Source organism: Homo sapiens, chromosome 5 (assembly GCF_000001405.40).
Source record: "Homo sapiens chromosome 5, GRCh38.p14 Primary Assembly".
Classification (NCBI taxonomy): Eukaryota; Metazoa; Chordata; class Mammalia; order Primates; family Hominidae; genus Homo; species Homo sapiens.
Genome location: NC_000005.10, coordinates 35,614,007 through 35,626,899, shown reverse-complemented (window position 1 = coordinate 35,626,899; position 12,893 = coordinate 35,614,007). Strand labels below are relative to the sequence as shown.

At 39.3% G+C, this 12,893-nt stretch overlaps 1 protein-coding gene across 19 annotated transcripts in view, besides 1 other annotated feature; it reads right to left on the bottom strand.

Moving 5' to 3' along the window:
- SPEF2 (sperm flagellar 2) overlaps positions 1-9,037 on the bottom strand; it is a 196,749-nt gene extending 187,712 nt beyond the window's left edge. For all 19 annotated transcript variants that reach the window (XR_925655.3, XM_011514136.4, NM_024867.4 and 16 more), the window contains exon 1: positions 8,845-9,037. Coding sequence is in view for 18 of the 19 variants with exons in the window: in XM_011514136.4 (XP_011512438.1) it covers positions 8,845-8,902 (58 nt within the window). In the remaining variant the exon portion in view is untranslated. The remainder of the gene's footprint in view (positions 1-8,844) is intronic.
- Positions 8,187-8,994: an enhancer, noted in NCBI's record as "H3K4me1 hESC enhancer chr5:35618008-35618815 (GRCh37/hg19 assembly coordinates)". NCBI's record gives its function as "activates a minimal SCP1, AML or CMV promoter by ChIP-STARR-seq in primed H9 embryonic stem cells {active_cell/tissue: H9 hESC(primed)}" and the evidence as "EXISTENCE:reporter gene assay evidence [ECO:0000049][PMID:30033119]".

Genomic DNA, 12,893 nt, shown 5'->3' with positions numbered 1-12,893 from the left:
AGTTGAGCTAAGTTGCTCCATAACAGCCACTGTGCAGTCCTCACTCCAAAGATTACACCCTATCATAATACTTTTTGCATGTCTGATACCAGAACACAGTTTTCTCTAAGACTTTCTTAATATCTGTTCTCAAAACCCTTTATACTCAGAGTAATACCTCAATCCTTAAGTTGAGTCAATACAATAATAAAGGTAGTTAAAAAGATGTCAATGGTTCCCACTGATTCTATGTACTCAGGGTGAGCTCTTGAACTGTCTAGAATTAGAATCTATTAATTATGGTTACATAATTTTTATATGCAATAGAAAAAATAAAAGGTAAAAAACATTAAGGGGAAGCAATGCTTTTTTTGTCTATGGATCACTTTAGCAACAAGTAAAGAAATGAAACTTTTATAAGCCCTAGGAAAATGAAAGCTTCCAATCACATAACCTTGTGTTCAGCTATAGTTCATGTGAGAACAGACACATTGCATCTATTCTTAAAGTCCACAGTCTGGCACCTATTAGTGGATTTTAGTAAGCTTTTCCACAAACAGACCAGTTTTATCATCATTTTAAAACTATTCAGGGCAGAATGATCTCACTCTAAACCCATGATACATTCTTTCAGAGTTGATGGTTTGATGCCCTTCCTATCAGTCATATCTGTCCTTCCGAAGCTATGTCTTAATGTGAAACACTGAAGCAACTCTTGAGAAAATATACTTAGAGAAGAGTATGTCCTAAAGCTTCCAGCAGGAGAATTTGAAATTCATGGCATACCTGAGCTCTATAACTCAGCTAGATCTATTGTACCGCCTGGAACACCTTACAGCACAAGTTAAGCTTGAGCTTCATAACCTAGGCACTGATTTTTTCCGACTTTAACGCAACACCATTTGAATATCATAATGCCTTTCGATGCTACTAAAATGAAGATTGGCTTGATCTTATACTAAATGTCATCTGTCATTCAGCAAGTGTCTTCCGGCTTCATACCTCAGTAGTCTTTAAAGCAACTGAAATCCAAAGGGTTCCTTCTGCTCCAATGGGCAAAAGTGTGCCACCTCCTCCTGTGTCACTGCAGCTTTCTCCTTCCCTTACAGACCCCAAAGCTCTCGTTGCCACCATGACCCTCAATGTGCCACCCAGGGTGCTCTAGCTGTGTCTTTCACCTCTTCTGTCTGTTGCTTTCTTCTGTCTGCCTCTTCCCTTCTCTCCTCCCTAGCCTATCCCTATTCTTCCCTTAGTTTTCTAAAGAGCCACTGGACATAGAACCATTATTCATCTATGGATGTATCTGTGTCTTTCTATTCCTACGCCATCAGGGTCTTGTCCCAATTTTTGGCTTATTGCTTTCTGTTCAAGAGCTGTTGCTATGTTACCTTCAGGTAATCTCTTTCCCTTCCTGCCTCCCTCTGGGGTTTGCACTGTGCCTGTTGTTCACGTTGACTGAATGCTGAAAGTCTAGCCCAGGAATAACTGGGGAATACTAAATCCGTTTCCTTCATCTTCAGTGTGGCTGACAAACGGTCTGTAACAAACCATTTTCTACAAAAAGGTCACCAGAAAAATAAAATCATTACCCATTTCCTTTGAAATGGCATGGCATATTAATAAGGCAATTATGATATGGATAAAATAGAGGTGTTTATAGTATAAAGGTTAAAGAACAATAGTAAACACTTAATGTACTTCATTGTCAGAGTAGTTTATAAAAAATCTGTAAGTATCAAAATATCTGTCTGAAGCTTTTTATGCATAAGACACTTCAGATTTACCATGTACCACATCAGCAGAAACTAGAACAGTGAGTGACGAATACAGCAAATGATAAAAGCAATAAAGGGGAAACTTGGAGAAAAAAATTAAAAGAAAAAGAAAAAAGAATACATATAGGAAATTAGACAAAGAAAGAAAAAGCTGAAGAAAAAGTGTATACACTAGGACTGATACACTAAAACGTATAAAATAAGAAGACAGGGCTGGATGCCGTGGCTCACGCCTGTAATCTCAGCACTTTGGGAGGCTGAGGCAGGCAGATCACGAGGTCAGGAGTTCGAGACCAGCCTAGCCAATATGATGAAACCCTGTCTCTACTAAAAATACAAAAAGTAGCCGGGCATGGTGGCACATGCCTGTAGCCCCAGCTACTCGGGATGCTGAGGCAGGGGAATTGCTTGAACCCAGGAGGCGGAGGTTGCAGTGAGTTGAGATTGCGCCACTGCACTCCAGCCTGGTGACAGAGCAAGACTCCGTCTCAAAAAATAAAAGAAGACATATAGGAAGCCAGAGAGAGAGAGAGATTGAGAGAGGACAAAGGTGATAGGGAGAGAGAGAAACAGTGAGGAAAAAAGAAAAGGCAAGAAAAAGCTTATTTTTTTCTCTTTGGTTTGTCATGTTCTTCTTCCCACAAATGTCACTGAATACTATGACTAATTTCAGGACACCCACCTCTATAAACTAATTTGCACTAACAATTGAAATTTTGTAGGGGGAAAAAGAGGCAGGTTGACTCCAGAACAAGGAACAATGGAGGAATATGATAAGTAAATAAACCATGGGAGCCCAGTGACAATCTTCATCCTAAACCCAAAATTACTTACATCTGGGATTAAAATTATTTAGCAGCAACTCAACCCTGCCTCTAATCTTCTCAGCCCTGCCTCTAATCTTCCAAGCCACATGCCTGGTCCCCATCACTAAAGTTTCCTTTTCTAATAAATCTTTGATGCAGGCCTCTGTGATAATGTTAGGCTGGGACAGCAGGTGAAATGATCTATGTGCCTTTCCATCAAAATGGCCCTTAGCCAGCTGGAGGAAGCACAGAAAGCCATCCACATTCCACATGGTGATAAGGAGAGCACAGGTTCTGGAGAAAGATTCTCTGTTAGACTTGTGGCTCATTTACAAGCTGCTTCACCTTGGGCAACTATGTAGCCATAGTTTCTCATCTGTAAAAATGAGAGAGTGATGGGGTCTACCTTATAAGAGTAGTTTTGAGAATTAAATCTTATATGTAAAATGCTTAGCATACTGCCTGGTCCCCAGTAAAAGCTCAGTGATTATTTTTATTGTTATTATTACTGTGTTCTAATTTAAGAAAACAGGTCATATTAATTACACAAACTGTAAATAACAGATCTTTAATGATTACAGTACAAACATTCGTGTTTAAAACACAATTCAGTACTCAGAAAGCAAATATTTGGCAATTCCTGGCATTCATATACAGGTCCACTCTTTAGGCCTGATAGGCTATAACTCCCCCACTGGTCTGGGGAAGCACCTGTACTTAAACACAGTCTATTTCTACAGCAAAATATTTAAATAGACACATCCAGTGAAATAAATAAGGACTAAACAGCCTTATGGCATTTCTGGTCAGATTTTGCTGCCAAATGAATAATGTACAAAGTTGCAGTTTTCAGAGATTTTTGGATTCTAGAATTTTTTAGGTAAGGGACTGCAGACCCATACCATTTTATGCTCAGTGGCATTTACTTCTCCTTTACTCGAGTAGGAAAGATCGAGCCTGCACTATCAACTACATTTAAAAAGCCAAGAAAATTTACTTTCATTTGAGATAAAAAACAAAAACAAACAAACAAACAAACAAACCCTGCTGAAGGCTTGGAACCAGCATGGCCCTATCAGGCTGTGGTGTTCCTAGAAACCGGCTGGGTACTCACAGCTACGCCTTGGCATTCTCCAGCTGAACATAACCAATTTCACAGCAAGGCACCACTTCCTGGAACCCTCCTCAAAAACACCTAACACAAGTCCAAGTCATTTCTAGCACCCTCTTACTGAGATGCCCTGCAGTCCTCATGGTTCATGTTCTCCCTTGTTACAACAAATCTATAAATCTAACTTTGTTCAACTACAGATGTGTCCTGTGATCTTTGGCAGGGGACACTGACGTTTTCTTTCCTTTGGTAAAAGAATAGGATTGTCAGTCTTCACAATTTTATCCTTTGAAGGCTTTATCATAATTGAGATTTATTATCTGAAACTAAATCTTAATTGCTATATTATAACCCTCTTTAATTGTGAAAATATTGAGCATCAGTCTTTTCTTGAAGCTCCATTTCTTAAAATTTTTGCTTCGATTTACACAATAGCCTTCTGCTACTAGACTTGCTATATTAATTTTTAGTCAATGAAAGCCAAGTTTTAATCAAGAAAAACGCTGCGAGGCTAGCCAGGAAATATCAAAATCTGTTGCTTTACGTCAGAAGCAATAGATTTTCTAATGATTCTGAGTGTTTAAGTATGAGAAAATGTGTAAGGTTTAGACTCCGGGTTTAAAGAAGACTAGAACTAAAAGGCAGCAGGCCCAGAATCTCCTGCTAACTTGCTACTACCTAGGTGCATAATCCTAAACAATGCTCTTAACACATCTGATTAGATTTCCTCATCTGCTAAAGAAGAATTAAATGATGTCCAAGATTATTTTTCAGATCTAAAGTTATACGATTCCATAATATGGTAAGGTTACCACAATACGTTATGAACTATTGCATAAAAATAAATATTCAATGGGATTTTTTTATATCTCTATGTTTTCTTAAAATAAACTATGATCCTTCTGAAAATATTAGGACAAAAGACCAAATCAACAAAGTGTCATTAATGCATGAGAGGATACCCCTCAACTTTGGGACAAAGAGTAGAAAATATCACTCTCCAAAAACAAATGCTACTAAGATTTAATATAAAACGAAAAGATTAATCATTTATGGAAACCCACTTGGAAAAAACCCAAACCCAATTAACAAGGAGCATAGACTGTCTCTTAAAACTCACAAAAATATATCTATTTAATTTTTATATATCATGTAAGCAATGATTAATATATCCTAATATATTAATTAACCTTATTTAAAATAGGAATATGCCTTAACAGTAGAATAATTCACAACTATTGTAATTTCAGAAGCTTTTGGTAGTAGAAGTAACATTGGAAAATACTATTGAACAGTGTGGCTTCCCTAAGTACTGTAGGCCAGAGGGGCAGGAATTCTGACTCTAATCTAATCTAATTTCACCTGTCACTGCTATCTAGATGAAACACCTCTAGATCAGAAAAAGTAAAACACAGCACATATTAGCTTTGACTGCCCCTCCAACAACTGAACCATTATTTAGCCCCATAAGGCAGCAAATGCACAGGCTTGGCATTCTCTCCTGTTTCTTTGTCCCAACAAGCAACTATGGGCTGGGCCACTTCTAAACAAACAATAATTCACCCAATTTTGCCACTTAACCATCTAGGAATTAGGTTATGCCCTATGATATTATAATAGGCCGAGATGGCTGAATTTTTCTATTTCTTGTGACTTCAAATGAAAAATAATCCTTATAAAAAGAGCTCAAGTGAATACATTTGAGAGTTACTTAAACATATATATTCATGCCTAAGTTTAAAACTTTAATGTACAATATAGGACCTAAAAGCATAAGTTCAAATTCTAGCTCTACGACCTACTAGCTGTAAGACCTTGAACAAATTACTAAGCCCTCTCCTCCTGACTCACCTGAACATCCAGGGCAATACCTCTTAGGGTTGTTTTTAAGATTAAATAAGAAAATCTATGTAAAGGGCTTAGAACAGGGTATGGTATACCCACATAAATGCTCAATAAGTGATAACTTTAATTATTTATTATTCTTTCATTTGTAGACTTCATTTGAACTCCATATAACTTTTCCACAAGCTCCCACAATACTTTATTATAATATGCTTACGATATTTCAACTAAAGTATTAAACCTCTTTTTCTCCTATTTTGTCATGTGATGTTTGGCTTCTTTTGATCTTTCATCTTTAATGCTATATTGAATTTTCCCTTCAAATTACAAAGGCAATATAAACAACAAGCCAGATAACAGAGATATATAAAGAAAAGCTACCAATCTTCCACTTCCCCAGGGTAATCCCTATAACACACTTGTTTATATCCTTCCACAATTTCCTCTACACTTACGCAAACCATAATATGAAAATTCATGTGTAAGTCAATAGTCCAGTATATGTCTTTCCATACTTTTCTTCATGCTCATATAAATGTCCATATTCATAAGTGTGTGTTTCCTAATTGGTACAAATATATAATTATACTAGTCACAATAAGCTCTAACTTTTGGTTTTTACTTGACAAAAATACATAAATATCCTTTAAGCCAAAAGTTATAGCAGCTAACTAATTCTTTGTAATAACTGCATAACAATTCATAGTATGAATAAAGCACCATGTATCCAAGCATTACACTTTTGAAGGATACTCAGATTGTTTCCAATTTTTATTTTTGCCCCTGTAATTCATGTAGCAATAAACGTCTTTGTTCAAATATCCTTATATATTGGTGCTTTTATTTTTATTTGATAGATGCTGAGAAGTAGGATTTAGCATTTATGTCCAAAGTGCTATTTTAAATGCTTTACATTTAATATCCCATTTAATCTTGATACAACCAGATGAGGTATCATTATTATTGCTGTTTTTAAGTATGATGAAATTTAGGTAAATAACTTGTCCAAAAGATTTCCAAGCAGTCTAACCTCCAAGTTCTTGCTTTTTACACTTCCCTTACCCAGAAATTGCCTGATTACTTTCCCCAGAGGTTGCACCCACTCACAGTCCTTCCATGATAGATTCTACAAACCATCCAAAGCCTTCCATTGTGCACCACACAACAGTTTATCTAATGATGGGGCAGCAGCAGCAGGAAATGTGCTTCCTTGAGTGCACAAATCCTAGCTTGTTGGCTTACAAACACAGTTAAGTGTGTTCCCAAAGACCTTTTACAATGTGGAATCTGGTTACCTCCTCAAGGACTCTCTCGCTCTATCTCTCTTATAGTAGTTGAGATTAAAAAATTAATACGTTTTGCTAGTGAATGGAAAGCAGAATACTCCATTAGAACGGGGCATCTCTGCTAGCTTCCAGATCTACACTTCAGGAGCACAGACGCCAGGAATTTTCTATCCATAGCCTAAATGTTGTTAAAATTCTTACTTAGTCTTCAGCCCTTTTATGTTTATCCTCCACCTCTCAAAACCTAAATTCCCAAAACTAATTAAAATTATAATGGCATCTACTGTTTTTATTTTATGTATCTTTATTAATTTCATTTATTTCTCCTAAAAGTATTTCAAAATGTTGCAATAGAGTCCTGGGGACTTCAGCAAAGGGTGTTTTTTGTTTGTTTGTTTGTTTTGTTTTTTGTTTGTTTTTTGAGACAGAGTCTTTCTGTGTTGCCCAGACTGGAGTGCAGTGGCGCGATCTCGGCTCACTGCAATCTCTGCCTCCTGGGTTCAAGCGATTCTCCTGCCTCAGCCTCCCAAGTAGCTGGGACTACAGGCACCCGCCACGACGTCCGGCTAATGTATTTTTAGTAGAGACAGGATTTCACTATGTTGGCCAGGCTGGTCTCGAACTCCTGACCTCATGATCTGCCCACCTCGGCCTCCCAAAGGGCTGGCATTACAGGCGTGAGCCACCGCACCCGGCCCGGGTGTGGTTTTTACTAATAAAATAAATGAACTAAATTAAACTAAGCAATATGTAACTGCTTTTCTTTTAGAAGAGTACAACTTAAGGGCATGATATTTTATTTTGGCTCCTATGGTGAGACAGGAATAAGAAACAATAAATGCTAAATATTGTCCTCAGTCCATCATATTTTAGCAAATAAACAGTTGGAGACACAATGGGATAATCGTAGAATACCAGGAAAGAATTTATTGCAGTTCACAGGGAGTGTGTAGATGGTTATTTGACAAAGAAAGAGTCTGAGGTTTATGCCTCAAGAAATGCAACAGGAGATGCTCCGTGCTAAAGATCCTCATGCTGAGAGTATTAATAACTACTTTGCACCCACAGAAACACTACCGATCTAGCAACTTCTGTAGATAAGCTAAGGTTGAACTGGCACCACTGCCTCTCTGGTAGCAAGCTGGTGTTAAGCAAGTTCTTCTGGGAAAATGGACTGAAATGACTTGCCCTGAAAACCTCTTCCCTTAAGCAAAAAAAGAAAAAAAGACAAACAAAACCAACTGAAAAATGAACTCCTGAAGAATTACAGGGCAGTCAAGGAAGCTGCCAGCATGTAAAATTGTCTCTGTGGTTGTCAGACTTGGAAACTTTGGGTGGCAACTGCATGGTTAGGATAAAATTAGGTTGGTGAATAAGGTCAGCTTTGGGCAAGAGCCAATAGTGACCAGAAATAGCTAGTTTGTGATTTGGGGCTTAAAATTTACTAAAATTTGTAAATGTTAACATATTCTACATTAACTTATTTTTCACCCACCCTCCCCTGCTGGTCAGTTAAGTATGGAAAGCATTATTAGGTCCATTTTATAGAGAAGGAAACACATTCAGAGAAGGTATTGTAACTTGTCCAGTGGCTTCATATTTCATCGACTAGCCACCACACCATGCTTCTGCTTCTGGTGATGTGAAGGAGGCATCGTTGGGGTCAGACTACAAAGTCCAGCAAAGTTCCCTCTCCACAGAAGCAAAGGAGACCTTCCTAAACCCTCTGATTGCCTAGAACCACATCACAAAGTCAGAATGCCTGCGGGTTGGGCCCACCGTGACAAGGGTAACTCGAGAGCGGCAGAGTGGGGACGTGACAAGGCCTTGCCCTGGCTGGGGTGAGCTGTAGGGAGGTGGCGGGACGGACCTGGGGCACCGCCGAGCCGAGTTGCTCACTGTGGGATGCTGCCGGCTACGCAGGTGCCCCACCTGTGCAGCTCGCGCCCTGCCCGCCACCTTCCCTGAGTGCGCTGCGCTGCGCTGCAGGCTCTGCGCCCCGCTAGCCCCTCAGACGCTCGCCCCTGGCCGTGGTCACTCACTCACGGTCCGGGACACCTTCAACTCCTTGTTGAGCCACTGGCACAGGATCTCCGACATGGTTCAGCCGGTGCCTCAGACCGCAGGCGGGGGCTTAGAAACTCGCCAGGAACCAAGCCTGCCAGCCCGCGTCCTCCTGTAGCCAAGGGCAACCCTTTGCTATGGAAGCGTATCCAGGCTGGAACTAGGCGAAAGGCCTTAGAGAAGAGGGGACGCTAGGGCTCAGCCGCAGAGGACAGAAAATCGTGTTTCGCCACCTGCTGGCGGGTAAGACCTGAGCGTGCGCCAGCGCAGGAGGAAGCCGTTGGGGGCCTGTGAGAGAAGTTAGGGAGCAGTGGGTGTGGGGAGAGGCGAGGCGGGAACACTTAGGGACACAGCAGGAGCTTCTTAGGTGAGCAGAAAGTAAAACCAGAGTCTCCGCAGGGCTCCGTGGCTCACGCAAATAATCCTACCACTTTGTGGAGGGGGTGGCGCTCGACTGAGCCTGGGAGTTCAAGACCAGCCTGGGCAAGGTAGCAGAAACCGTTTTTTTTTCTGTAAGAAATTAGGCGGCCGTGGTGGCGTGCGCCTGTGGTCCCACCAGCTCAGGATGCTGACGTGGAAGGATCAACCCAGGAGGCGGAGTTTACAGTGAACCGAGATCGAGCCACTGCACTCCAGCCTGGGCAACAAAATGAGACTCTGTCTCAAAAAAGAAGAAGAAAGAAGAAAGAATAACAAGAAGGAGAAGGAGAGGGAGAGGAAGAGGAGGAGGAGAAGAGGAAGAACAGGAGGAAAAGAAGAAAGAGAAGGAGAAGAAGGAGAACAAGGAGAAGGAGGAGAACAAGGAGAGATCAAAGAAGAGGAAGAAGAAGAAAAAAGAAGAGGAAGAAAAAGAAGAAGGGTATTTGGGGTATCCATCACCTTGAGTATTTATCATTTATATACGTTGGTAACATTTCAAATCTTCTCTTCTAGCTATTTTGAAATATACAATGTATCATTGCTAACTATAGTCACCCCAGTTGCTAGCTAACATTAGACCCTATTTCTTCCATCTAACTATAAGTTTGTACCCATTCACCAACCTCTCTTCATTTCCCCTTCCCACCCTCACATCCTTTCCAGTCTCTGGTACTCATAATTTTGTTCTCTATCTCCAGGGGATCAACTTTTTTAGCTACCACATATGAGTAAAACATGCAGTATTTGTCTTTCTGTTGCCTGGCCTATTTCATTGAACATAATGGCCTCCAGTTCATCCATGTTGCTGCAAATGACCTGTTTTCATTCTTTTCCATGGACAAATGGTATTCCGTTATGTATATATACCATTCTTTCTTTTTCCATTTGTTCGCTGATGGACACTTAGATTTATTCCATATCTTGGCTATTTTGAATAGTTCTGTGATAAACATGTGAGTGCAGGTATCCCTTTGATATACTGACTTCTTTTCCTTTGGATAGATACACTGTAGTGGAACTGCTGGATTTTATGGCAGTTCTGTTTTTAGTTTTTTGAGAAACCTCCATACTGCCTTCCATAGTGGTCATACTAATTTACATCCCCACCAACAGTATGAGTTCCCTTTTCTCCACATCTTCTCCAGCATCTGTTGTTTTTTGTCTTTTTAATAATAACCATTCTAACTGGGGTAAGATGGTATTTTATTGTGGTTTTGATATGCATTTGATAATTAGAGATGATGAATTTTTTCATATACCTGTTGGCCATTTGTACCTCTTCTTTTGAGAAATGTCTATCCGTGTCCTTTGCACACTTTTTAGTGGGATTGTTTGTTTTTTTAGTGTTGAGTTGTTTGAGTTTCTTGTATGTTGTGGATATGAGTCCCTTGTCAGATTAATAGTTTGCAAATATTTTCTTCCATTCAATGGGTTGTCTCTTCACTCCGTTGATTGTTTCATGTATTGTACAGAAGCTTTTTAGTTTAATATAGCCCCCAGTTGTCTATTTTTGTTTTAGTTGTCTGTGCTTTTGAGGTCTTATTCATAACATTTTTGCCTAGGCCAATGTCCTGAAGTGTTTTCCCTATGTTTTCTTCTAGTAGTTTTATAGGTTTAGGTCTAACATTTAAGTCTTTAATCCATCTTGAGTTGATATTTGTGTATGTGGTGAGAAATACTGTTCAGCTCTACTCTTCTGCATATGGATAGCCAACTTATCCAGCACCATTTATTGAAGAGAGGGTTCTTTCAACATAGTTCTTGGTGCCTCTGTTGAAAATCAGTTGGCTATAAATATGTGGATTTATTTCTGGGTTCTCTGTTCTGTTACATTGGTCTATGAGTCTATTTTTATACCACTACCAAGAAGTTTTGATTACTATAACCTTGTAATATAATTTGAAGTCAGATATTGTGCTGTTTCCAGCTTATGCTGTATTAATTACTATAGCCTTGTAATATACTTTAAAGTCAGATACTGTGCTGTTTCCAGCCTTGTTCTTTATGCTTAGGATTGCTTTGGCTATATGGACTCTTTATTGGTTCCATATGAATTTTAGGATTGTTTTTTCTATTTCTGTGAAAATGATCTTGGTATTTTTATAGGAATTGAATCGAATCTATAGATTGTCTTAGGCAATATGATCATTTTAATGATATTCATTCTTCCAATTCATGAACATGGGGTGTCTTTCTATTTGTTTGTGTCCTCTTCAATTTCTGTCATCAGTGTTTTATAATTTTTCTTGTAGGGTCTTTCACTGTCTTGGTTAAATGTATTCCTAGGTGTATATTTTTATTGTACCAATTGGAAATGAAATTGCTTTATTTATTTATTTGTTTATTCATTCATTGGTAGAGATGAGTTTTCTCTATGTTGCACAGGCTAGTCTTGAACTCCTGGGCTCAAGCAATCCTCTGCCTTGGCCTCCTAAAGACTTGGGACTACAGGTTTGAGCCACTGCACCTGGCCTTGATTTATTTTTCAGCTATTTCAGTATTAGTGTACAGAAATGCGACTGATTTTTGTATGTTCATTTTGTATCCTGCTACTTTATTGAATTTGCTTATCAGCTATGAGAGCTATTTGGTGGAGTTTTTAAATTTTTCTAAGTATAAGATTATGTCTTTTGCAAAAAGGAACTATCTTCCAATTTAAGTATGTTTTCTTTCTTTCTCTTGCCTAACTTATTTGGCTAGGACTTTCAGTACTCTCTTGAATAAGAGTAGTGAAAGTGGGCATCCTTGTCTTGTTCCAGTTTTTAGAGAAAACGCTTTCAACTTTCCCCCATTCAATATGTTAGCTGTGGGCTTGTCATATATGGTCTTTATTATTTTGAGGTATGTTCTTTCTATGCCTAGTTTGTGGAGAGTTTTTATCATGATGGAATGTTGAATTTTATTAAGTGTTTTTTCTCATCTATTGAGATCATCACATGGTTTTTGTCCTTCATTCTCTTGGTGTGATGTATAACATTTATTGATGTGTGTATGTCAAACCATCCTTGCATCCCTGGTATAAATCTCCTTTAATCATTGTGTATTATCTTTTTGATGTGCTATTGAACTCAGTTTGCTAGTGTTTTGTTAAGGATTCTTGCATCTATATTCATCAAGGATATTAGCCTATAGTTTCCTGTTTGGGTTGCATTCTTATCTATTTTTGGCATCAGGGTAATACTGGCCTCAAAGAATGCATCACGGAGAATTCATTCCTCCTCAATTTTTTTTTTTTTTTTTTTTTTTTTTTGAGACGGAGTCTCGCTCTGTCGCCCAGGCTGGAGTGCAGTGGCGCGATCTCGGCTCACTGCAAGCTCCGCCTCCCGGGTTCACGCCATTCTCCTGCCTCAGCCTCCCGAGTAGCTGGGACTACAGGCGCCCGCTACCACGCCCGGCTAATTTTTTGTATTTTTAGTAGAGACGGGGTTTCACCGTGTTAGCCAGGATGGTCTCGATCTCCTGACCTCGTGATCCGCCCGCCTCGGCCTCCCAAAGTGCTGGGATTACAGGCGTGAGCCACCGCGCCCGGCCCTCAATTTTTTAAAGAATAGTTTGAGGAAGATTGGTATTAGTTCTTTATACGTTTGGTAGTATTCAGCAGTGAGTC